Source organism: Homo sapiens, chromosome 17 (genome assembly GCF_000001405.40).
Source record: "Homo sapiens chromosome 17, GRCh38.p14 Primary Assembly".
Lineage (NCBI taxonomy): Eukaryota > Metazoa > Chordata > Mammalia > Primates > Hominidae > Homo > Homo sapiens.
Genome location: NC_000017.11, coordinates 15,513,351 through 15,540,564, shown reverse-complemented (window position 1 = coordinate 15,540,564; position 27,214 = coordinate 15,513,351). Strand labels below are relative to the sequence as shown.

The 27,214-nt window shown below is 41.5% G+C and overlaps 2 protein-coding genes across 4 annotated transcripts in view, besides 2 other annotated features; both read left to right on the top strand.

Moving 5' to 3' along the window:
* TVP23C-CDRT4 (TVP23C-CDRT4 readthrough) overlaps positions 1–27,214 on the top strand; it is a 127,469-nt gene that overhangs the window by 22,919 nt on the left and 77,336 nt on the right. The gene's annotated exons all lie outside the window — the stretch shown is intronic.
* The window catches only part of TVP23C (trans-golgi network vesicle protein 23 homolog C), a 61,220-nt gene that overhangs the window by 22,919 nt on the left and 11,087 nt on the right, over positions 1–27,214 (top strand). The window contains exon 6 of one of the 2 annotated variants that reach the window (NM_001135036.2): positions 4–3,585. The exons of the other annotated variant lie outside the window; for it this stretch is intronic. Coding sequence (NP_001128508.1) covers positions 4–153 — 150 coding nt within the window. The 3' untranslated portion in view covers positions 154–3,585. Of the gene's footprint in view, positions 1–3; positions 3,586–27,214 lie in introns of those variants that run through there. 2 annotated transcript variants of the gene reach the window in all.
* Positions 4,053–4,552: an enhancer, noted in NCBI's record as "H3K4me1 hESC enhancer chr17:15439327-15439826 (GRCh37/hg19 assembly coordinates)". NCBI's record gives its function as "activates a minimal SCP1, AML or CMV promoter by ChIP-STARR-seq in naive H9 embryonic stem cells {active_cell/tissue: H9 hESC(naive)}" and the evidence as "EXISTENCE:reporter gene assay evidence [ECO:0000049][PMID:30033119]".
* Positions 24,036–24,330: a silencer, noted in NCBI's record as "tiled region #6604; HepG2 Repressive non-DNase unmatched - State 15:Elon". NCBI's record gives its function as "represses a minimal TATA promoter and a strong SV40 promoter by Sharpr-MPRA in HepG2 cells {active_cell/tissue: HepG2}" and the evidence as "EXISTENCE:reporter gene assay evidence [ECO:0000049][PMID:27701403]".

The following is a 27,214-nucleotide window of genomic DNA, read 5'->3' as shown; positions in this document are numbered from 1 at the left end:
CAGGCGGTGGTTATTATGGGTGTGGTGCTACAAGGTGCCAACCTGTATGGTTACATCAGGTGTAAGGTGCGCAGCAGAAAGCATTTAACCAGCATGGCTACTTCATATTTTGGAAAGCAGTTTTTAAGACAAGTAAGTGTTTTCTGGATGTGATCAGTGACTAATGCAATTATTTCTAACTTTCATAGTTTAATTTTTATGAAACGCTCCTGAACAGAAGTTTTAAAGGCATATAGTTGTATAAATATAATGATAAAGATGTTGTAATTGCTCTTTGGGGGTGTTCAAGACAGTCTGGAAGTGTATTGTCAGTATCCTAAAATTATTTTAAAGCCAGGAAGGATAAACTATCATTGATAATAACTTATTTTTTAAAAATTACTTTTAAGTTCAGTTGTTTTTCATCAATTATGGGAGCTTTAAGTGAATGCCCTTGCAGAATGTATGTTGTATGTTTTTATTTTTATTTTTTGAGACAGAGTTTTGCTCTGTCGCCCAGGCTGGAGTGCAGTGGTGCAATCTCGGCTCACTGCAACCTCTGCCCCCCGGGTTCATGTGATTCTCCTGCCTCAGCCTTATGAGTAGCTGGGATTACAGGCGCATGCCACCACGCCCAGCTAATTTTTTGTATTTTCAGTAGAGATGGGATTTCATCATGTTAGCCAGGATGGTCTCCATCTCATGACCTTGTGATCTGCCCACCTCAGCCTCCCAAAGTGCTGGGATTACAGGCGTGAGCCACCGTGCCCAGCCTGTATGTTGTATGGTTTTAGGGAGAACAGTTGAATCACAAGAAGACCATAACATTTGTACTCAGATGTTTTTTTCCCCCTAGAACATAAGGATTTTACTATAATACCTCAACATCAGGGTTTTCAGCAGGATGAGTAGTAGTCATAGGTAAATAATTATTGGTTAAATCTCTTGGGAAAAGTGACTAGGTCTTTTTTTTTTTTTTTCTTGAGATGGAGTCTTGCTCTGTCGCCCAGGCTGGAGTGCAGTGGCGTGATCTCGGCTTACTGCAAGCTCCGCCTCCCGGGTTCACGCCATTCTCCTGCATCAGCCTCCCGAGTAGCTGGGACTACAGGCGCCGCCACCACGCCTGGCTTTTTTGTATTTTTAGTAGAGACGGGGTTTCACCGTGTTAGCCAGGATGGTCTCGATCTCCTGACCTCGTGATCCGCCTGCCTCCGCCTCCCAAAGTGCTGGGATTACAGGCGTGAGCCACGGCGCCTGGCCGTGACTAGGTCTTTATATGAGTAATACCTTGCATTTGGTTAGTACAGTAGGTTGGGCAAGTGATATTATGTAGGACAGGGATTCTTAAACTCGAACATACATGAGAATCACCTAGAGGGCACAAGATTGCTGGGTTCCACCTCCAGACTCCTTATTCAGTAGATCTGGGGGTGGAGTCTCATAATTTGCATTTCTCCCAAGTTTCTGGGTGGTACTGAGGGCACTGGTCCAGGGATTACATTTTAGATAACTAAAGCCCCGAGAAATTAAATTATTTACTTAAGATTATACAGCTAATAGTGGTACAAAGCTAGATCTTAAACCCAGCCCTCTGTACTCAAAATTTATTGTTCTTTTTATTCTACTGTACAGTTTCTCTCACAGAAGATGAAAAGTAGAGAAAATGAATATTCATGTAGGGACATGATCATCTCATTCTGAAGGATTTTTGCATGGCTCCAATATACCTTTACTGTGGTCCACCTTAGGGTAACTTTCATGTATGTGCTTATTAGGTTTTTTTCGTTAGAATTTTCAGTGTTTCTGAAGGTGGGGAGGAACATGGAATACAGGTGAAATTAAACCTTAAACCTGGCATAACATGGATAGGGTTAGTGTCTTACATGGTATCCGGCGTCTGCTCAAATGAGACAAACTGGACAGCTGGGTGGATGATGGTATCCATGGATTTACTTCATTAGCGCATGTCTACTTTTTTATTTATTTATTTTTTTTGAGACAGAGTCTCACTCTGTTTGCCCAGGCTGGAGTGCAGTGGCGCGATCTCGGCTCACTGCAAACTCCACCTCCCGGGTTCATACTATTCTTCTGCCTCAGCCTCCCGAGTAGCTGGGATTGCAGGCGCCCGCCACCACGCCTGGCTAATTTTTTGTATTTTTAGTAGAGACGGGGTTTCACTGTGTTAGCCAGGAGGGTCTCGATCTCCTGACCTCATGATCCACCCTCCTCGGCCTCCCAAAGTGCTGGGATTACAGGTGTAAGCCACGGCGCCCAGCCTAGCATGTCTACTTTTTAATGTGATTGGGCCATTGTATGTAAGGTAATGCTCTGCTTAGAAATATAGAATGTTTTCCTAGGCCTAGGCCCCAAGTCCATGGTGTGTGAAGTGAAATAACTTTGATGTTAAGGAGTTCTTTTTTTGTCTTTTGCGGAACACTGGAGATGATCAGACTTCCTGAATAGAGAAAGCTTATGTGCTTTGTTACATTGGGGAACAACTGAAGAGATTCTTGACTCAACCTTTTAGAGCTTAGTCCATGTTGCAACGAGGAGTGTTGGCTTTGTTTTTCCACTTAAAAACTTTATTTATAAAAAGGAAAAGTAGTTTTCATATTAAGTTTTTATTTCCTTTCCAGCAGTTGGGGCTAGAAAGTATATGTTGGCACTAGAAACATTGTTAAGATTTGTTCTGTGGTGTAGGTATGCACATTCCATAGGTATGCACACGGCCATGTAATACCTGTATATCCCAAGTTAATGAAAGTGTTCATTTACACAGATAATGGAGACCTTTGCATTTTGATCCATAGAACATAGGAGGATGTTCTTAGTCTGTCTCAAAGCTCTATATGTTTACATATTATTTCTGTAGATTGTTTTCAGGAGAAAGTTTTGCTTCTATGGTAAGAGTGAGCACTTTGGCTTATGTATAAGTTAGAAATAATTGTTAGTTTTTAATATGTACTTCATGGGGAAATTTCTTAGACGTATGCAAGCAAGTGAAAACAATTAGGGCCAGTGGTATTAACTACTTTATAAAATTTTATTTTTGTTTGTAAGAAGTTATCTACTTAAGGCCCAGTTAATATAAGTGGAATCATCATAGTTTAAGGAATACCCAGAGATTGCTGCTATTCTATTTATTTTACAGAAAGGATAGCTAGATTGAAAGTTCTTCAGTGGACCTTGAGCTAATAGATCTTTTACCACTAAAAGAGCATTATTCTCATGTCATAATGAGAATAATAATTTACATACTTGGCATAATAAATGCCTAAAAGACATTTTATTTTCTGAATCTATTTTTTTCTTGCTATAATGGGGATATTGTAAATTATGCATTTGTATTAATGGTATTTCTTAAAGCAATCTATGTAACTGTAAATTAAACCAATCTACAAACTATTGTAGGCATCTGTAAATTCTGTTGTAGGTATTATAAACTTTGTTGAAGTCTTAATCAGCAGATTATGTTGTGAATATATTTGTACATTGTTAAAATAGTTTTTAAGATTATTTGTTTAATTGAATAAGTGTCTTATTGGAGTGATAGCTTTGAAGGTGCAAAACTTTATATTTGTATAAAATTCTACTATTTACAAGGCATTTGACATGTGTAATCTCATGTAACCCTCATGATAAATATGTAATACTTTAGATGATATAACTGAACTTCAGGTTAATGAGTGACTTTCCCAAGGAAAACAGATTGCAGGAATATCTGTAGGATATAAAACATGATATATTAGTATTTTTTAGAGAAAATATTTGCTCTAAATGCCCTTTCCTTTCTTAAAAATTAATAATTTGTTAAGAGCTTGTTTATTTTACTTAGCTGTTCTGTCTGGTGAGAATTGATACTGCACTAAAGACATTTTAAAATACAATCTGAAAGATCTAACCTAAATCTTTAGGGTTGAGAGTCTAACAAAGGATACATTGGTGTAGTTCTTTAGGTAACTGTGTTATTTGAACTGCATCCTAAACCAAGTAACAATGAATTTTAGAATATGCATGTGGTAGGAGCTACCCTGTATTCCCTAATATTCGTTTTTCTCCTTCTACAGATTTCCCACCTAATTAGCTAGGGAATGGCATCCTGGAATAAAGATAAAACTTTTCCTAGATTTTATTGCTGTATCTTGGTGTGGCCACACCACCAAGTTTGGGCCAATGGATACACTTCCAGGAAGTATCCTTAAAAGGAGGAGGCACGCCCATCCCTTCCCCCTTTTTCCTGAAAGGTAGACACAATAGCAGAAACTAGAGCAGCCATCTTGGACTATGTGATAAAGGCTTCGTTTTGTGAATGGCAGAGAAATGAGGTAGATACTGTCTGAATCCCATCTTGTGGGTATAGTAGCCCTGAACTACTTGTCTGAATTTTTTTTTTTGAAACAGAGTTTTTGCTCTTGTCACCCAGGCTGGAGTGCAGTGGTGTGATCTCGGATCATTGCAACCTCTGCCCTCTGGGTTCAAGTGATTCTCCTGCCTCAGCCTCCCTAGTAGCTGGGATTACCAGCCTGCCACTACACCTGGCTAATTTTTGTATTTTTAGTAGAGACGGGATTTCACCACAATGGCCAGGCTAGTCTCGAATTCCTGACCTTAGGTGATCCGCCCGCCTCAGCCTCCCAAAGTACTGAGATTACAGGCGTGAGCCATCGTATCTGGCGACCTGTTTGAACTTTTAATAAAAGTGAAGGGAGGAACTACCTTCTTCAAGTGTTAATGTTCTGGCTTCTCTGTTGCTCATAGCCTAACTGGATTCTTGTCGATACAGTGCACTTTGAGCATTATCCATGATTATTTCCATTTGAACTAACTTTCCATATTGTACTAACAACTCCAGTTGTTAGTACAGTATTAGAGATGTAATAATTTAGTAAATACATAGTTGTCCTTTATGTAGTAATTAAGTGAATATTGTAGTTGCTGCCGAGTTGCACTGTTCAGATGCTGTTGCTACGTAAAATTCCACTCCTAGAATTACTGGTGAAAAGTCATTTTATTATGCTCACAAATTGTGTGGGACAGGAATTTGGATGGAGCACAGTGATGGCTGGGGAAGGAGCCAGGGAGTGGCAGGGAGCTTTTCAGCTACTGGCCTGGAGGTTGACATTGGCTGTCAGCTGTGGCCTCAGCTAGGCTCTCGGTTGGAACACCTACACTGTGTAGTTTCTCCCTGTGGGCACATTTGACTTCTTCACAACCTGGCACTGGGTTCTAACAATGAGCCTTCCAAGAGAGCAAGAGAAGTGCATGGCATTTTAATGATTAGTCTTGGAATTCACATGATGTGTCTTCTGTCATACTTCATTGGATGAAGCAGTAACCAAGGTCCATCCAGCTTCTATAGAAGGGTACATAGAGCCCAGTACTTGATGAGAGGAGTGTTAAGATTACATTATAATAAGAAGTATGTGGGATGGGAGATAGTCTTTAGAAAATAAAATCTGTGACACTTTAATCATTTCATTAAGACTGAAGAAATTAGGAGAGACTGAGGATAAGTGGTTTTCCATTTTTTTTCCCTGGGTCAGCCTTGGATACAAGTGAATTGACTGAATGGTGCTAGTAAAATGGAAGTAAAATCACATTTTTGTTTTTTTATTTTGACATGGAGTTTCTCTCTTGTTGCCCAGGCTGGAGTGCAGTGCCATAATCTTGGCTCACTGCAACCTCCACCTCTCGGGTTCAAGTGATTCTCCTGCCTCAGTCTCCCAAGTAGCTGAGACTACAGGTGCCCACCACCACGCCCGGCTAATTTTGTATTTTTAGTAGATACAGGGTTTCTCTATGTTGGTCAGGCTAGTCTTGAACTCCCGACCTCAGGTGATCTGCCTGTCTTGGCCTCCCAAAGTGCTGGGATTACAGGTGTGAGCCACCACGCCTGGCCCTAGTAAAATCACATTCTAATTCTACATCCCCCAGAGTATGTATTCTTTGACCCAGACCTCTAAATAGGTAAGGGTGTGTGTGTGTGTGTGTGTGTGTGTGTGTGTGTAGAAGTGATGGCACATTAACTCCAACATATAGGTACTATGGGCCTTTTAAATCTATATAACTCTTAGAGCTTATTAAAGTTCCTTTATGTATTATCTCATGTGATTCTCCCCAAGAGGGAAGAATGACCATTATGTACCATGTAACCTCATGTTACAGGTAGGTAACTAATACTGAGAGAAGTAAAATAATTTATTGAAGGTTGCATGTAGTAGAGATAGTAATGCTCACTAAACGTTCCATTTGTTCTACATTTCTCAGCTTCCTTAATTAATTTGAGGCCATGTGGTTAACAATGGCCAATGAAATGTGAGTGAAAGTGAATAGAGATGCTAGGTGCCTGAAGAGCATAGGACAGTTTTAGACAACAAAGAATTGTCCTGTATCTCATGACTTCTTTGAACCTCGCTGAATAATTATGTACATAGAAATCCTGTTTATAATGAGAAAGGAAGAGCAACCCCTACAGCTGTCAGCTGGAAGCTGATTTAGCCCTAATGGCTAGGCTATTATATTCTGTTGAATATAAACAATGTTATATAACAACAACATCTGACAAGGCCACTCTGAGTGTGGTGGAGGAAGACAAAAATTAAGACACTCCATAGGCATGTTGGAACTTAGCAAGATTCTGTGTAAATCATAGAGCGACCAAACATTCTTGTCTCTTGGCTTACATGTGTGATATTTGCTCCATTACCCATTAGATCACTCTGTTCCTTCTTCCTCCTAGATTAAAAATTTCAATGTTTACACTCATTTAGAATTTCCCTTGCTTTCTGAAAGCACTTAATCCAGAGTAAAACCATGATTCATGGAGCCCTTCTTGAAATCACCCAACACAACCCCAAATCCTTTAAAAAGCCCTTCCCAGCACCCTCATACTGAGGCACCCCATGGTTCCCCATGGTGTGTGATCTCTCTTGTGTAAAAGTGTGTTGATAAACCCAACTCGATTCAACCGCAGATCTGTTCCTCATGATCTCTGACGGGTGGACGTTGACAATAATTTTTTGAGCTTAGATTATAACTCCATTTTATATTTTTGTTGTAGATCTGCAGTACTTGATTTGCTAAAAAATGCAATTACCAGTTAAGTGAGGGAAGGTTGTAGTCTTTGTTCAGTACGTAACCAAGAGTTTTCTATCATTTTAAAAACTATCACTAGTGGCAACATTGCTCATGGCATTTGAGTTCCAGGTCAAAACTACTGCAGTAGTCTGCATTTGTAGTGGGTACATTAATGGTAATTATATGTACATATGCAAGCATCTAATGATTGTGTCATCAGGAGTTTTGGCCATCTCCAGATTGAATTACACATTACCGTAAGTTGCTTCCTTTTATTTCTCTGTTACATTACAGTTAGATATTAAAGATACCTTTAATCATGATAGATGATTTAAAAATATGCCTCACGTAAGTTATATTGTTTGTGTTTTAGAATAATAAAACATGTTTAAAAATATTTCTGATAAAAAGTGGCTGTGGGCCTGAAGGGGCGAAAACCATTAGTCTACAGTCATTGATGAACAGTCTGTCCCTTAGGCCCTCTTAGTTGGAGCTGGAGAGTGTATAGATACGAACTTGAACTCTGGTGTTCTAATATTCTGTGTTGCTTACTGAAGGTAGATGCCATGTGCTTTGGAAACCAGCATGGACATTCTATGAAATTTGAGAAGAGAAGCAGTTTTCTCATTTAGATGGTCTATCATGGTTGGTAATGTCTAGTGTTCTAAGTGAATGTAGTAGATGCTGCTTATATTAATTTAAGAGAAATCCTATAGATGCTGCTTATATTAATTTAAGAGAAATCCTATATATCCCATTAAAAAAATCATAGAGAAACATTTCCAGAATGGTGGAGTATGGATCTTTGAATATCTGATTCTGCATAAAATCAGTGAGGACACTGGCAGGAATGATCAAAATAAACTTTTTTAAACTCTGGAAATTAACCAAACGATTGCAACAACCCAAAGAAAATGTATTTGAGAAAAAAGCTGACTTTCCGTGATCAATAAGGTTTGTGGTGTTTTAACTTGTCCTGTCCCCATTTTCTTCTCAGCTCCACAGTAGCCTTGAAAATCAGCAACCTTGAGACCACAGTAGCTGTGACAACCAGTAGCCTAGAAACCACTGAAGGAATTTAGAGTCCCCCCAAGATAGGTTTGGAGTTATCCAAGACGCCCCATCCCCAGAGATTTGTCACTCCTTGACCTGTCTGGCAGCTCCCTGGAATAGTCCCAATCACAGGGCTTGTCTTCATTTAACCCAACTCAGGTCACTCAATGAGGAAACTATCCTCAGGTTGTTTGTTATAAACAATTGGTGGCAATAATTTAAATAGCACAGTTGCCTGACATGGCTATACTAGTTGGGACAAATGAGACTGGCCAGAAAACTTAAAAAAAGGGGAGTGTGATGTCTACAGAGGCTTTGAAAAGTGCCAAAATATTCTTGGGAGCTAGAAAGTCAGGTAAAGGTGAGAGACTTATGCTTCAACCACTTAAGGAAATCCCTGTCTAATCATATGCTCAAGACTAAAGTAACCAAGCAGAGATTTTGGTGACTGCAACATGACAAAGAACACAGACTAAACAGAATTAGTCGAGGAAAGGTACTAGACATACCACCATTGCAATAAAAATAACAAATAGTAACAAACTCTACAAAGATGGGTGTGGGACAAATCTGATTTGCAGAGTTGCCACCTTATATTATTTAAATTTTCCAGTTTTCAACAACAACAAAAGATGTGAAGAAACAGCAATTACAGCCGCCTATATATGGGGGAAAAAACTTAGAAAACAGAAACCATCCCTGAGAAAACCCAGACATTAGATCTATTAAACAAAAAGTTTGTCAACCTTTAAATATGCTTTAAAAACTAAAGTAAACCGTGGACAAAGAACAGGAGAAAGGAAAATAATGTATAAACAAAGTGAAAGTATCAGTAAATAGAAAACATGAAAAATTCTGGAGCTGAAAAATTTCTTAGAGGGGTTTACAGATTTAAACAGGCAGAAGAATCAGCAAATTTGAAAATAGGACAAATGTAATTATCCAGTCCGAGGAACAGAAAGAAAAAAGAATGAAGAGTGAACAGAGCTTGAGGGATCTGTGGCATTTTATCAAGTTACCAACATACGCATTAAAGGAGTTCCAGAAAATGAAAAGAAAAAGGCAGAAATAATATTTGAGGAAATAATGGCTGAGACTTCCCAAATTCAATGAAATACATGAGCTACACATTCAAGAAGATCAACAAATTATAACTAGGATAAACTCAGAGATCTATTACTAAACACATTACAATCAAGCTGTCAAAAGCCAGAGACAAAGACAGTCGTTAAAGCAGCAGGAGAAAAACAACTTATCACATACAAGGGATCCTGTGTAAGATTAAATGCCTACCACTCATCAGAAACTACAGAGGTCAGAAGGCTGTAGAATGACATATTCAAAGTGCTAAAAGAAAAAAACTTAACAGAGAATTTTAGATCCAGCAAAACTATCCTTCAAAACTATAAGAAAGGATGAGCATGGTGGCTCACACCTGTAATCCCAGTACTTTAGGAGGCTGAGGCAGGAGGATTGCCTGAGCCCAGGAATTTGAGACCAGCCTGGGCAACATGGCAAAAAGCCATCTCTACAAAAAATACAACAAACAGCTGGGTGTGGTGGCATGTGCCTGTGGTCCCAGCTACTCAGGAGGCTGAGGCAGGAGGATCACTTGAGTCTGGCAGGTTGAGGCCTTGATTGTGTCACTGCACTCCTACTTGGGTGACACAGTGAGACACCCTCAAAAAAAAAAAAAAGTGGAAATTAAAACATACCCAGATAAAAACTAAGAGAATTCACTGCTAGCAGACCTGCCTTAAAAGAAATGCTAAAAGACATCCTTCAGACTGAAATGAAAGGACACTAGACAATAACTCCAATCCACATGAGGAAATAAAAAACATCATTAAAGGTAACTACATAGGTAAATATGAAATATAGTATAAATGTATTTTTGTTTGTAATTCTTTTCCTGTCTGACCTAAAAGACAACTACATAAAGCAGTACTTATGAAATAATGTTGATAGGGTTATAACTTATAAAAGATGCAATTTGTATGATGATAATAGCACAAAGGAGGAGGAAGGGAATAGAGCTATACCAAAGTTTTTGAGTATTATTGAAATTAGGTTGGCATTAATCTGAACCTACTTTATGTTAAGATATTAATCATAGTCCCTAGGGCAACCTCTAGGAAAAAAAACTCAAAAAATACAATAAGAGGAACAAGAAGGAAATCAAAATGATATACTAGAAAATACCTATTTAATACAAAAGGCAGTAGTGGAGAAATTAAATCAAAAGACATAAGATGCATAAAAGGAAAAGAGCAGATATCCCACAAGTGACTCCCACCTTATCAGTAATTATATTAGAAGAAAACCAGTTAAATAATTCAGTCAAAAGACAGATTTGCGGCTGGGCACAGTGGCTCACGCCTGTAATCCCAGCACTTTGGGAGGTCTAGGTGAGCGGATCACTTGAGGTCAGGAGTTCAAGACCAGCCTGGCCAACATGGTGAAACCCCATCTCTGCTAAAAATGCAAAAATTAGCTGGGTGTGGTGGTGGGCACCTGTAATCCCAACTACTCTGGAGGCTGAGGGATGAGAATCACTTGAACCCAGGAGGCGGAGGTTGCAGTGAGCTGAGATCACACCACTGGACTCCAGCGTGGGTGACAGCGAGACTCCATCCAAAAAAAACCCAAAAAACAAAAAACAGATTGGCAAAAAACATGATCCAACTATATGTTGTCTACAAGAGGCACACTTTAGATTCAAAGACACAGGTAGAAAGTGAAAGTATAGAAACAGATATACCATGCAAGCAGCAATCAAAAGATAGCTGGAGTGACTATGCTAATGTCAAACAGTAGATTTTAAGGCAAAAACTGTTTCAAGGGACAAAGAAGGACATCACACATTGGTAAAAGGACCAATTCATCAGAAAAACATAACACTTAAAAACAAATATGCACTTAAAAAATCCCACAACATGAAACAAAAGCTGACAAAACTCTCCATATTGAATAATTATTAACAATTAAGTTACTTTTTTTTTTTGAGACAGAGTCTCACTCTATCACCCAGGCTGGAGTGCAGTGGCGCTGACTCGGCTCACTGCGACCCCCAGCTCCCAGGTTCAAGCAATTCTCCTGCCTCAGCCTCCCGATTAGCTGGGATTACAGGCCTGCACCACCATGCCAGGCTAATTTTTGTATTTTTAGTAGAGATAGGATTTCACCATGTTGGCCAGGCTGGTCTCAAACTCCTGACCTCAAGTGATCTGCCTCCCTTGGCTTCCCAAAGTGCTGGGATTACAGGCGTGAGCCTCTGAGCCTGGCATAACAATTTACTCTTAATAATTATTAATAACTAAATGAGATAATCCACATAAAAGAGTAAGCATAGTCCCAGGTACACGGTAAGCACTTGATAATGATAACTCTTATTTAGAAAGAAAAACTGAGTTGCTTTGCTAGTTAAAGGTAAAGAAGTCAGAAAATCTAACAATAGTGGCTGGAGACATCAACACTTCATTTATAATAATGCATAGAAGTAGGCAGATGATTAACTAGGAAAAAGAGGATTCAAAAGCACTATAAACAAACTAAATCTGCCAGGCACGGTGGCTGATTTCTGTAATCCCAGCACTTTGGGAGGCTGAGGCGGGCAGGTCACTTGAGGTCAGGAGTTCGAGACCAGCCTGGCCAACATGGAGAAACCCCGTCTCTGCTAAAAATACAAAAATTAGCTGGGTGTGGCGGCGCATGCCTGTAATCCCAGCTACTTGGGAGGCTGAGGCAGGATGAACTCGGGAGGTGGAAGCTTCGGTGAGCCAAGATCACGCCACGGCACTCCAGCCTGGGTGACAAATGAGACTCCATCTCAAACAAACAAAAAAACCCAACAGACATCTGTAGAGACTCTGTCCAACAACAGCAGAATACACATTCTACTCAAATGAACATGGAACATTCTCCACGATAGACTATATGTTAGGCCATAAAACAGGCTTCAATAAATTTAAAATAATCGAAGTCATACAAAGTATAATCTTTGGTCAAAATGGAATTAAATTAGAAATGAACAACACAAGGGAATTTGGGAAATTCACAAAGATGTGAAAATTAAACAACATACTGCTAAATAACCAGTGGGTCAAAGAAGAAATCACAAGGGAAATTAGAAAATACTTTGAGATTAATGAAAATGAAAACACAACATACCAACACTTATGGGATGCATATATAACAGTGTTTATAGAGAAATCCGTAACAGTAAACACTTATTTTTTTTAAACAAGAGATCTCAAATCAAGTCTCACCTTTCATCTTAAGAAACTAGAAGATGACCCTAGTAAATCAAAGTAAGCAGAAGGAAGGAAATAATAGATTAGAAAGGAAAGAAAAAACATAAAGACTTGAAAAACAGTAGAGAAAACAACAAAACTAGAAGTTGGTTCTTTGAAAGGATTAGCAAAATTGACAAACCTGGAATCAGATTGAAAGAAAAGATACCACTAATGTTTACTGAAAAAGCAATCCTTACTGAATGCTTTTGTAAAGCGATTGGTTATCCCAATAGAATATACATCACTTTACACCTATTTTTTGTGTGAACATTCTGTTATGTAAGCATTCGAGCATTGTTTTTTCTCCAAAAAGTGCTTTCCACGAATTGTTTCATCCTCGTGACATTCTTAGAATGCAGAAGCTGTTGTATTTAGTAAACTGTAATCATTAAGAACTTGTATTTGATTCAGGCAGATCTGAGTTGTGGATCCAGTTCAATATCCTTTTTTAGATTTTGAGAAAGTCACTTATCCCATTTTTACAGATGAAGCAGCAGGCTGAGAGTCATAAGCACAAGTAAATACTTACCCTCTTGAGGTGGAAGGAGCTTGTGAGGATTAAATGAGATAACTCATGTAAAATGTTCAGTATAGTCCCAAGCCCACAGTAAGCACTCGATAATGGTAACTTGCTCAGATGGAAAACCGAATTGCTAAGCTAAAGTTGCAGCAGTCAGGAGAGCTAACCCCTAGTTAAGTGGCTCCTCTTTTAATTTAGATTCTCATCTAGTATATGGCATGGATAATCCAAATGCAGCAAAACAGTCAATTATAGGAAAGAATGCTGATTTCATTTTATTTTTTATTTTGTTTAGAACAAGTTAAAGATGATAGAAGTAAAACTTTAAACAAAATAAATGTAACAGAGCAAAGAATGATTCATGGGAATTGGGCTTTGCTCTGAAACATGGGCAGTGAGTATTTACAGGCAGAAAAAGGCTGAAGAATGCAGAAACAAAGAACACAAAGTGGATTGGTTTTTTCAAAGTTACTTTCCTTGTGAAGGTTAAAGTAGGGGGACTTCCTTATCAGGCAGGCTAAAACTGGCTGTTCGGAGATGTGGCTATTATCTCCCTCTCGCTCCTGATTTCTTGGAAGGTCAGATAACAATGTAGTTTTGGCTTGGTGGCCTGGAACTTTACCGTGAGTAACTCCATTTTGGTTTGGTCTACTGGGGCCTAGTGCAGGAACTTACTTCAAACCAATGACCTCCTATAAATTTTATTTAACAGAGATCATAAGTTTATGAGCCGGTAACTTACTATAGCATTCATTTCTAATTTATAGTTAAAACACATCCTGTTATTTATTTTTTTCACATAATTGTTGAAATCCAACACAGCTACGAATGAGTCTTAATGTTTTTTAAACATTTCTTCTAGGATGTTGCCTTTCTCCCCAAGCCCCAGTTCTCTCTTGCTTGTAGCTTGCACTTGGTCCTCTAGATGGCAATATACTAACATATGATGTAAATGAAACCAACGCATACTGGAGCAGCCAATTTACTTGGTTTAGTAAGAAATGATGGTTTTCCTACAAGTGGTGAGTTAGGACTAAATCCATGCATCTTATTGTGAAATTAGTCAAAATCAGTGCCAGGGAATGAATAGATGCTGAATAAATAAGTACAATATAATACCCACAATGTACCAGAGATCAAGCAAGACAGGTACTGTAGACACAGTCAGACATAAGAAGAACTATGAGTGCTATGTGTCTGGCTTCCTGATCTCGGCAAACCCTGCCATTTAACAAGTGAGGAAACTGAGGATTGGGGGATCAGTAGCTTTCCTGGGGTCATATAACTAGAGAGAGGTGAAGCCAGGACTTGTCAATGGTGAGGCTTCGATGATGAGCTTGAATTTAAGATATGTCAGATTTGAAGCCAATGGAGCATATCAAATTAGCAAAGTGCAGTGGAAACCTGGAACTCAACCTCAGGATTAGGCCAAAGGTATACATTTAAGAGGCATCTCTGTAGAGCAGAGTTGAAGCTGTAACAATGTAGGAGTGGTCTACAGCAACTGTGTCTGTTAAAGAGCTGATAACTGAAGTGTAATTCCCAAAGACCAAGGTGATATGGCAGCGGGTAAAGGGCATACGCAGTGCAGACAAACATGAGTTTAAATCCTGGCTTCATACTTACTTGCTGTGTTGGTCATGGGCATTTAACTTCTTAAATATCATGAGATACTTAATCTCTTTGACTCTTTGCAATGACCGTGTGAGGGAGATACTACCACCATTTTACAGATGAGGAAACTGAGGGTTAGAGAATGTAGGAGTTGACCCAAGGTCATGGTGCATCTAGTACATGATGGATCCAAGGTTCCTATCTGGACAGTCTGCCTTAGGCTTACAGTGCTAAGCACCACATGCAGTTTCCCCAATCATACACCTTAGGACACCACCTTTGTATGTGGGTCTCGTGCCAGAGATGAACGTGGGCGCATGCACACGCGTGCATGCACACACACATGCACACACACACACACGGAGAGAGATTTATTTCAAGGAGTTGGCTTACACAGTTGTGGGAACTGACAAATCCAAATTCTGTAGGGCAGGCCAGCAGGCTGGAACTCTCAAGCAGGAGCTGATGTTGCAATCTTGAGGTCAACTTTCTACTTCCTCAGGAAAATCTTAGTTTTGTTCATAAGGCCTTTAACTGACTGGCTGAGACATTCCCACACAGTAAAAGAGCAATCTGTTTTACTCAGTGTTAACAGATTGTAGATGTTAGCCACATCTATAAAATAGCTTCAAAGCAAACAACACCTACATTAGTGTTTGATTAAATAACTCAGTACTAGCCAAGTTGACACAAAAAATTAACCATCACACGCTTCCAGCTGTCTGTAAACGCTATGACAGCAGGAAGCCTATCTTTGTCATTCGCCTTCCCATTGTCAGTGCATGACCCAGTGCCGGGCACCTAATGGCACTCAATAAACATTTATTGGGCATGTGCCCGCCTTTTAACAGTGTAGGTGAAAGCCATTGTATACATGCTGTTTTCAACTGCTGACCTGTGCTAGGTACAGATTTCCAGTGTGTTCAACTCACACATTACTTTCTCTGGGGCTCCCTGGATGGAGCAGTGGAAGGACTGATCTCAAAGCAGGAGACAGAGACACCTCATTCCTGGAGATCTGGCTTGGCCAACTGGGTAGTTTTCCTTTTCAGAAGATGAAGCAACTGATGGTCATTGCCAGAAGCCAGGAGGAGGGCTGCCACTGCCAAGAGCCGAGTGGTGGTCCTGGTAGGACACTGCTCATGCACTGTGTCTGTTCTTAGGTTTCAGCTGGCATCTGTTTCCAGCTCTTGGTGCTATTTGCAACCTTGTATCTTAGGATGAAGGCATAAAGGTTTTCAAGCAGCAAAACCTTCCAGGGTTAGATAAGAGTGTTTCACTGTGGATCTGTGAGCACCTATAGCCACTGTGTGCATCCCTCTGGGACCCCAGCAGCTGCTTCTGAGAAAACAGAGGGATGGAGAAGAGGACACCACCCAGATGGTGGAAACATCTATCAAAAGTTAGGATGTCCTCTGGAAAGCCTCTTTGGGTGTCTGATTTCATATCTCCTTCCTCATCAGAGAATGGCGTCGCCTCCTATTTGATGAGAATTTAAACACATCTAGAACATGTGCTTATCTTTTTCCTATCTCCTGTCTCTGGGATCACATCATACTGCCTCCAAGAATCCTGTCCTTAACCCCCTTCCTTAGAATTTACAGCATAGCCTGGAAACAACCAAGCATTCATCTTTATTCTAAAGTACCTAGAACAGAGCTGGATCTGTGACAGATGCTCAATGGCTGTTTAATCAAACAGGAAAAACTCATATTTGGAGTAGGGAGTAGGGGGAGGCAAAATGGTACTCTCAATGAATTATAATATTTTAAAATTTGTCAATAGAGAATATAATACAAACCAGAGAAGCATAAAGGAAGGTCATGCTAATTTTCATGAGGTAGTTTCTAACTCCAGGAACAAAATGGTGAAAGGGCATTCTAAGTCAAAGGAATTTATCATGTAAAGACGGGAGTAACACACACACACACACACACACACACACACACACACACACACACACCCCACTCTGCTACAACCACAACAAACACTTTGTTGTTCTTCAAATGCACCAAGCTCTCTTCAGCAGTGTTTTGTAGTGCGTATAGGACATCTTTGAAATATTCTGGATATTTAACCTTTGTCTTCTTGGCATGTTAAAAATATCTTCTGGCGGCTGGGCGCGGTGGCTCACGCCTGTAATCCCAGCACTTTGGGAGGCCGAGGCGGGCAGATCACGAGGTCAGGAGATCGAGACCATCCTGGCTAACACGGTGAATCCCCGTCTCTACTAAAAATACAAAAAATTAGCCGGGCATGGTGGCGGGCGCCTGTAGTCCCAGCTACTTGGGAGACTGAGGCAGGAGAATGGCGTGAACCTGGGAGGCGGAGCTGGCAGTGAGCCGAGATTGCACCACTGCACTCTAGCCTGGGTGACAGAGTGAGACTGTCTCAAAAAAAGAAAAAAAAAAAATCTTCCAGCCAGGTGCAGTGCTCATGCCTGTAATCTCAGCACTTTGGGAGGCCAAAGGGGGTGGATCACCTGAGGTCAAGAGTTCAAGACTAGCCTGGCCAACATGGTGAAACCCGTCTCTACAAAAATACAAAAATTAGCTGGGCATGGTGGCGGGTGCCTGTAATCCCAGCTACTTGGGAGGCTGAGGCGGGAGAATCGCTTGAACCTGGGAGGCAGAGGTTGCAGTGAGCTGAGATCGTGCCACTGCACTCCAGCCTGGCAACAGAGCGAGACTCTGTCTCAAAAAGAAAAAAAAAAGAAAAAAAAGGCCTGGCGGGGTGGCTCATGCCTGTAATCCTAGAACTTTGGGAGGCCGAGGTGGGTGGACTGCCTGAGCTCAGGCATTCGAGACCAGTCTGGGCAACACAGTGAAACCCCATCTCTATTAAAATACAAAAAATTAGCCGGGCGGCATGCACCTGTAGTCCTAGCTACTCGGGAGGCCGAGGCAGGAGAATCACTTGAACCCGGGAGGCAGAAGTTGCAGTGAGCCGAGATCGCACCACTGCACTCCAGCCTGGGCGACAGAGCGAGACTACGTCTCCAAAAAAAAAAAAAATTCTGCTCTATAACTTCACTTTTAACATTGTTTAGGGAGTTTTTTGTTTGTTTGGTTTGTTCTTTTTAGAGGGAATCTCGCTCTGGTGGTGCACAGGTGTGCACCACCATGCCTGGCTAATTTGTGTATATTTGTAGAGATGGGGTTTCACCATGTTGGTCAGGCTGGTCTGGAACTCCTGACCTCAGGTGATCTGCCCACCTTGGCCTCCCATTGTGCTGGGATTACAGGTGTGAGCCACAGTGCTTGGCCAGGAGTGTTTTGACTTATATAAGTTTTTTTAAAAATGTAGCCAAACTTACCAACTTTTATGACTTCTCTTTTCAATATTCATTGAAAACACTATCAATGTAATAATGATATGCTGCATTTTCTTTTAAAGTTATAAAATGCTGCTTTTCATATTTATCTTTTAAAATTATCTAGAATTTATCTTGGCATATAGACTGAAGTAGGGATCTCATTTTATCTTTCCCCATGTAGACAGCCAGTTGTATCAGCACCCTGTATTGAATAATCCAGATTTTCCTCACTGATTTGTGATGCCATTCTGTCAAATACCAAGTTCCTGGTGTGAATAGGTCTATTTTTTCCTTATTTATTTATAGGGGTACTTTGTGTTTTCTGAATGCTAATTCTTTGCCACTGATATATATTGTGAATGTCTTATCTCACTTTGAATTTCTTATGAATAGCAGCTCAATTAAAATTATCAGTCTTTTATAGTTTCTGTTTTATGTTTCATATTTGTGAATTTCCTTTTTACTCTAAGAACATAAAGATTTTCTCCTATATAGTCTCTTAAATGTTTCATAAGTTATGTCTTTAAGCCTCCTCAAATTGATTTTTTTGGTATGGTGTGAGGTAGAATCTGTAGTAATTTGTATTATTTGCTCACAATTCTTTCTTTCCTTCCTGCCTGTGCCATGATTCATTTTGAGCAGAATATACTCCACTTCCCCACTGTCTTTTAGCTTAACCACGTGACTTGTTTTGGTGATTAGAATGTGAGCAGATATAATGTATGTCCCACCCAATAAGAAACTTTAAATGTGTGGTTTGATTTACTCTCGTGTATTCCTTACCTGCAACATGAGAAGTGCATGCCCCGGGTGGCCACACTCCTTCAGCTTGGGTCAGAGAATGAGAGACATGTGGAGTAGACCTGATCTGACCTCTGTGTGACTTATAGACCTCTGTGTGACAAATATATGTTTGTCGTTATATCTTACTGAGATTTGGAAGTTGTTTGCTGCACAGCAAAATTGCAGCAACATGGCTAACACAGAATCACATTTCTTTTTATTTCCCATGTGGCTAACCAATTACTGAAATATCTGTCCTTTTCACATTAATCTCCAATGCCAACTCCATCATAAACTAAGTTTCTCTATATACGTGGTTCTCTTTCATGCCTCTCTTTTCAGTTACATTTCTCTATTTGAATATCCCTATACCAATACCCACTAACTTAATTAGTAGAGATTATAATAATTTTGTTTTTTTTTTGAGACGGAGTCTCGCTCTGTTGCCCAGGCTGGAGTGCAGTGGCGTAATCTCAGCTCACTGCAAGCTCCGCCTCCTGGGCTCACGACATTCTCCTGCCTCAGCCTCCCAGGTAGCTGGAACTGCAGGCGCCCACCACCACGCCTGGCCAATTTTTTTGTATATTTAGTAGAGATGGGGTTTTGCCATGTTAGCAGGATGGTCTTGATCTCCTGACCTTGTGATCTGCCTGCCTCAACCTCCCAAACTGCTGGGATTACAGGTGTGAGCCACCGCACCTGGCCAGATTATAATAATTTTATAATCAACTTGTTAAGTACCAAAAAAGCTCTGCCAGAATTTTGATCATAACTCCATTGAAACCGTGTATCAAGTGGGGGGAATTCTCATCTTTGTAATATTGAATCTTCTGATCCATGAACATTGTATGTCTCTTAAGTCCTTGATTTCTTTAAGTAAAGTTTTTATAATTTTCTCTATAGAGGTCTTTTCTATTTGTGGTTAGCTTTATTTTTGGGTACTTTACATTTTCTGTTGCTATCATTAGTAGTATTTTATGCCATCACATTTTTTTAAAGGTTCATTTTAAATGTATATACTTTAGGATTTTTGTGTAGATATTTTGGGATTTTTATCTAGACAAACATGCAAACTGCAAATGATGACAGATTTTTTTTCCTTCATTTCCAATCTTCATGTTTTTTTATGCGTTACTGCGTTCACTAGGAACTCCAGTATAATTTTGTAAGGACATGGTGGTATCAAGCACCCTTGCTTGCCCCCAGTGTTAAGGGGAACATTTATAATATCACAGTTAATGGTAAAATGTTGAAAGCTTTGTTTGAACATGTGTGGATGTCCACTTTCAGCCATAATGTGATAACAAGAACCAGACTTATCCTCCCACTGTGAGTAACTAGAAAGTGGACAAGATACATAAAATAACTTATTTCAGGAAGTACATGTTTGTGATCCCTGGGAAAATGGACATAAGTGAAAAGAACCCTATAATTGCCTTGGCTTTCTACCTGGAGGCAATTTCTGACAATAGGATAAGGGAGGAGGAATCTAAATAGAGCCTAAAATCCTCTCTGAGTTGAGAAGATGAAAGATGACCCAAAAAAGGGAACCCAGAGGACGTTAGGTGATCTGAAACCATGTCATCTGGAAAATAGTTAGAAGTCCTGGGCTGTTTAACTGGCAGTAGGGAAGACTGAGGGGCAATATGAAAACTGTCTTTAGAGATTAGAAAAACTGTCATGTTGAGCAGGGGTTGTTTGTGTTCTGTATGGCCCTGAAAGACAGAGTTTAGGACAGCTGGATGGAAATGAGAGAAAGAGGATTTTGGTGAAATCCAAGGAAACACTTTCTAGCAATCATGGTTGATCAGGCTGGAGTGGGCAGCCTTCCTCAGCTGGAGGATGAAGGCACTGAGCAAGCATGCTGGGTTGTTGCTGAAGGAGCTTCTGTAGTGGCAAGTGACCAAGCTAAATGGCATCCAGGGTCCCTTTTACTCTTAAAGTTTTTCATAGTTTGGTTTGCATAGCTTGGCCTCCATAAAAGGCAGCTGTTAACCAAATGACAGTACTTTTTGTTTGTTTGTTTGAGACGGAGTCTCGCTCTGTTGCCCCAGCTGGAGTGCAGTGGCGCGATCTCGGCTCACTGCAAGCTCCGCCTCCCGGGTTCATGCCATTCTCCTGCCTCAGCCTCCCAAGTAGCTGGGACTACAGGTGCCTGCCACCACGCCCAGCTAATTTTTTAGTAGATACAGGGCTTCACCATATTAGCCAGGATGGTCTGGATGTTCTGACCTCATGATCCACCCACCTCGGCCTCCCAAAGTGCTGGGATTACAGGTGTGAGCCACCGCGCCTGGCCACCAACTGACAGTACTTTTAAGGCATGTTGAGAAAAATGAGTCCTTGAAGACCCCAACCTTTAAAAAACTGAGTAGACAGGGTTTTAAAAGAGAATTTTCCCCATGCTTAACACGCAATTTGTGTGTGTGTGTGTGTGTGTGTGTGTATATTTATTTGAGATGGGGTCTTACTCTGTCACCTGGGCTGGAATGCAGTGGCATGATCATGGGTCACTGCAGCCTCGAACTCCTGGGCTCAAATGATCCTCCTGCCTCACCCTTCCAAAGCTCTGGGATTACAGTCAGCAGCCACCATGCTTGGCTTGTATTTATATTTTTGTTTGGCTTCTCACCTCTGTGTGTCTTTTCTTGAAGGCAGGGACCATGTCATATACATGTTTTCATGTTCTAGTATGGTAGTATGTGGATACCAGGTGCTTCTTCAATACCTAAGTGAATGAAAGATGTATTAGTCTGTTTTCACACTGCTATAAAAAACCACCTGAGACTGGGTAATTTATAAAAAGAAGCGGTGTAGTGGACAGTTCTGCATGGCTGGGGAGGCCTCAGGAAACTTATAGTCATGGTGGTAGGTGAAGGGAAAGCAAGGCACATTTAACATGATGGCAGGAGAGCGAGAGAGAGTGGGGAACTGCGACACACCTTTCAACCATCAAATCTTGTGAGAACTCACTCACTATCACAAGACCAGTATGGGGAAACCACTCCCATGATGCAGTCACCCGCACCAGGTCCCCCCTCGACACGTGGGGATTACAATTTAAGATGAGATTTGAGTGAGGTCACAGAGCCAAACCATATCACAAGGTGACTTGGCCTGAGGAAGGGTTGGAAAACCTTCATCTAGTGTTCTCCTCTCCCTCTTGTATTCTGGGCAGACATCACTAGTCAACCATGAAACTCTTCTCTACTGAGCCCAGTGGAGCTCTTCTCTACTGAGCCCAGTCTTAGCCATGGAATTCTTTGGAAAACACAGATTCTAGACAATCACTTTTAATTAATTACAGTTAGCACAGACACTGTCTGTTTGTCATCCCAGAACTAAAGGAATGCTTAGGATTCTCTAAGGCACAGTGACAACCTGTCCTAGTCACAGTCTACTTTGCTGACCAGCTGCTGAGAGCCCAGCTGTCATCTGCTTTCCAGATGTAGGAGTTACATAGGTATTGCTGGCATGCTGATGGTTCAGCTGAGTGCCAAGGGGGACATTTTGGGCCCCTGAATGCTAGGGACGCCTTCTGGATGATGCACATGAAAAGCTTTTTAGCTTGGATGTGCCGTTGATACAGTACGTAGCATTGCAACCATATAGGGTAGAGTTTGGGACACAATCACATCTCTGAACCCCCTTATATTTGGGTAGATCTTGATGCTGTATTGGCTTCACCTCCTGACTCTTAGTGCCTATTGGGTTCTCTGTGACAGGCTGTGAACATTCTTTTTTTTTTTTTTTTTTTTTTGAGATGGAGTCTTGATCTGTCACCTAGGCTGCAGTGCAGTGATGTGATCTCGGCTGACTGCAACCTCTGCCTCTTGGGTTCAAGTGATTCTCCTGCTTCAGCCTCCCAAGTAGCTGGGACTACAGGCGCGTGCCACCACGCCCAGCTAATTGTTTTTGTATTTTTAGTAGAGACAGGGTTTCACAGTGTTAGCTAGGATGGCCTCGATCTCCTGACCTCATGATCCTCCCGCCTTGGCCTCCCAAAATACTGGGATTACAGGTGTGAGCCACCGCATCTGGCTGAGGCTGGGAACATTCTTGAGTGAGAATTCTCTTATGGTGCAGTGGGAAGAGAATGGGCATGAGACTCAGCCCTTCTGAGCTCACCTTCTGTTTCTGCCGCCTGCCAGCTGTGTAGTCATCTGGATGTTACTTACCTTTATCGGATGTGGCTTCCTCCTGTTTAGGGTGGGATGGCAACATCCACCTCAAACCATTGTTTGGAGGTTTAATGAGACAACCTAGGTAATGTGTCAAGCAAGTGATGGATATAAACAATTCCCAGCACCCATATAGGTCGACTGTGCACCATGTGCTACTCCAAGCCCTCTACATATATTAACTCATTTAATGCTCATAACAACTTGATGAGGTGGATGATAAAAGTATCACCCTTATTGGATAAGATGAGGAAACTGAGGCATGGAGTAGCTAATTCTACTCAGGGAGGGTCAGACAGCTAATACTTGGTAAAGACAAGATGCAGATCATAGAAGTCTGTGCTCTTAACTACTGTGCACCTGTTAGAGATCAGTACCCATTTCTCTGCCTAACTATTGATGCGTATTTATTGACCACCTGCCCCCTGAAAGAAACTGTGTTAGATGCTGGGAGGATACACATATTAGTAAGGTACATTTAGGACTGAATGAACAGGGCTATGAAATTGAGTGGGACATAGTCCCAAGCCACAGAAAGCTTATTATCAGTTGGGGGGTGACAGGGAGGCGGAAAGGGTAGACAGCCAAGTAGTCCACAAAAAGGCATGTCCCATGGAAATGACTGGTGTGCATTATCCTGCCAGGAATCTCTGTGGGTAAATTATTAAATAGACACTCTCTTTTATAAAGCAGCCTCTTTTGGGTTGGCTCAGCAAGAGAACTGACTGATGGGGGGCTTGCTCACCACTTGAATAGATATGATTGAGTTTCTGAGCTTGCACACCTAGGGTGAGATGCCATGCCTGTGCTTTTCCCAGACAGCACACACTGTGGGATGCCCTGCTGAAGTAGGGCAGACAAGCAGGATCTTCTAGTCTCTTGTAGCCAAGGCCTCTCTCCTGAAGTTTATGCCCAGGTCTGTGATACACCTGCTGGATGTTCATACTTGGGATGTGTGGCCATCACCTCAAACACAGTCTTTCTGGAATCAAACCTACCATAATATTGCTAACTCTTAAGGGATGAATTGTCCACCCCCACCCCCAAATTCATATGTTGAAGTCCTAACCCCACATTACTTTTCAAGGTGACTGTATTTGGAGACAGGACCTTTAAAGACATGATTAAGATAAAATGAGGTCATATGGGTAGGCCTTAATTCAGTCTGACTGGTGTTCCATAAGAAGAGGATATTAGGACACAGACACACAGAGGAAGGACCGTGTGAAGACGAAGGGGGAAGATGCCGTCCACAAGCCAAGGAGAGAGGCCTTAGAGGAAACCAGCCCTGCTGACACCTTGATCTTGGGCTTCCAGTCTCCAGAACTGTGAGTAACACATTTCTGTTGTTTAATCCACCCAGTCTAAGGAACTTTGTTATGACAGCCTGAGCTGACTAATGTACTAACCATCTCTTCCTGCTCCCCGTTACATCCGTTACCAAGTCCCTTAGATTTCCTTCACAACCAACCCCTGTATTTCTTCTCCATTCTTGCTGTCGCCTCCTGGCTGTGCACTGCGGCAGGTGGCCTTTGGCCTCGCTGTGTGTATTAGTCTGTTCTCTCATTGCTCTAAAGACATACCTGAGACTGGGTAATTTACAAAGAAAAGAGGTTTAATTGGCTCATAGTTCTGCAGGCTGTACAGGAAGCATGAGAACATCTGCTTCTGGGGAGGCCTCAGGGAGCTTTTACTCATGGCAGAAGGCAAAGGGGGAGCACGCGTCTTACCTGGCAGGAGAAGGACAGAGAGAGTGGGTGGAGGCCACACACTTTTAAAATAACCAGATCTTATGGTAACTCCATCAGGAGAACAGCACTAGGGGTGGTGCTAACCGTTCATGAGAAGCCACCCCCATGATCCAATCACCTGACACCAGGCCCCACCTCCAGCATTAGGGATTACATTTCAACATGAGACAGGCAGGGACACAGATCCAAACTCCATCACTGTGCCCATCATTCATTCATCTTGCTCGGGTCTGCAATCCACCCAGAAGACATTTGGAGACCCTAGGGCAAGGGAAGCGCGTGGTGAAAGCTGGGATTTAGGATCATTAGGGTCTCCATTCCTTGGCTGTGGTGTTCAGAGACTTGTCCTCTATCACCTGGCCTTCCTGGGTTCTGATTCTCCACTAATAAAAACAATTTATAACGATACCCGTATTTGCACTCTCCTCTGAATCCAAAGTACTTTTTCAGCATGAAAATCGTATCTCGTGTAGTTCATTTTTCATTGCTCACGTCTCAGGCTCCCAACTGGGCCTGTATGTTTCCCGAGTGGAGGCAGGATTCCCCTCTGAGGGGTTAATTCCCCAACAGCGCCTGGCCCGGTGCCTGGTTCACATGGGTGCTTGTCTTAGGTCAGGTCCTCAGGAGCAGACGCTTACATGAGGATTCCTACACAAATGATTTATTTCTGGTTCCATGAGAGTAAAGTTGAGTTGGGGGAGCATCAGGTAGGAGGGTGTAATTTTAGGTTAAGTTCCAGGGGGTTCCAGGCTGAGTTCTGGATTGCACAGGGAGACTCTGGAGTGTACGTTATACCTTTGCACGTTTTTCCTTTGTCCCTGGGACTCAGGGAGCAGGGCTTTCTTGCTCTCACATCTGTCAGTCATCGACTCAGGGCCATGCCCACTGTGGGTATGGGCACCCTAGCCACCTCCGGCTTGTGTATTCTGGCAGCTGTGTTTCCGGTACCCCAAAGACAATCCTGAAAAAAGGAGTTGCACTTCTGGGCTGTTGGAAACCTAAAGCACACTGAAGCTCGGGAAAGATGCCCCTAACCTGTAAAAGGGATCCGCGGGGATCTGGGTGGCACACTCATGGTGTTTGCCACAGCCATGTGCACTTCCCTGTTGTCTCATCCTCCAGAGAAGGGGCTCAGGTTGGATCCCATTGCTCAGTTTCACACCTGTGTTGTCCTCTGTGGCTTTTTGTTTCATGTGTATTTCCTGTAAGTAGCCCTTGTAACAGGAGAGGTCTCAAGTGCTGAGTAGAGTGAACCCTTTTTGACATGGCAAGATTTTGTATTATTTTATGTGTTTAATCTTTGACCCCAATCGTTTACATTGTAGAACTCTCTCCGTTTTACCAGTTTTGCCATAAATTGCCTACATTATACTCTGCCACACTGATGTCAGCTTGCCTATTTCCCTGACCTTTGGAATTTTGTGCTCCTTATTTCCATTTTTTTCCTTTCTTTCATGCTGTTTGTTTTCTGTCACATACAGTTTAGCCTTTTTGTCATTCTTAAAAGTAATAAATAAATGCCAGAGCATGCACACGCTTCTTTAACCAAGTAAATAAATCAGAAAGCTATATAGGTCTTACAAACATTTTAACATGCAGTACTAAGTTGAAAAGAGGTAATGTGTTTAATGTTACAACAGAAATCCTAAGATTCATTTTTAAAGATTGAGTGTCTGTTTAGAAACATTTCCTGTTCTTTTGAAGTGTCCCTACTTACTTGTCGTTTGATTTGTTTAAGCCACACAGGCTATGGTATTTTGTTATGTCCCAGCTGAGGCAGGACAGTTGAAAAGGCTGCTCCAACTCGAAAGAAGATTCTTAGCTTTAAAAAGTATGTTTGCTGCCGGATTGATGGGCCATATTCACCTTGAAAGTCCAGCCTCTGCTCCTAAGCAAGTAGCCCAGAGTAAATAGCTGCACCCCATGAACGGTGATAAGAACGTTCTCTTGGAAGCGTGCGGAGGATGCTTCTCAATGCTGTGGTTTTCTGGTTAGTGACAGGCCCTGGGTCTCTGGGCCTCCCTCACCGTCCGCCCCTGCATTCAGAGCATGCTTGAGAAAATCATGGAAAGCACTTTCTACATCCAGCTTCTTCTGCCCTATGCTGAGATTCAGACAGTGGCTTTACTTCACTGCCTTTTCTATGTTTCTGTGTTATTTTAATGTGAATTAGGGAAAGGTTGCATGGAGCCGGTGGGGTGGTGATAGTTAGGGACTCAGGTATCCATTTTACTGGATGTTTCAGACTGTTTACAGATCTGCTGCTCATGTCTTGCTGGGGAAAGCCAGGCAATGCCAAGAGCTAAGCATTTGGTGGATACTAACCTCCTGGTTGAAAAGAACCCTTTGTCCTGCTGTTTGATGCTGTGAAAGAGAATCCTCAAACTGTCAGAAAGAAAAGAGAAAGCATTTTACCTCTTTGCTTTTTAGATGGCTTGAGAGATTTAAAGTTATAAATCTTGGTCCCTTGCTATCGACGCTAGGACTGGACAGCCCTTCAAACATGACGTTCAATCCCCCATCTCAGGCTGGAGCTTCCTCTATACTTATCAATTCCAGTTGTGAAAATCTAAATAAAGAAAACGGATAACTGTTTTAAAGAAGAAATACTCAATTGTTTTCACATAGAAAGTTTTTTAAAGCCT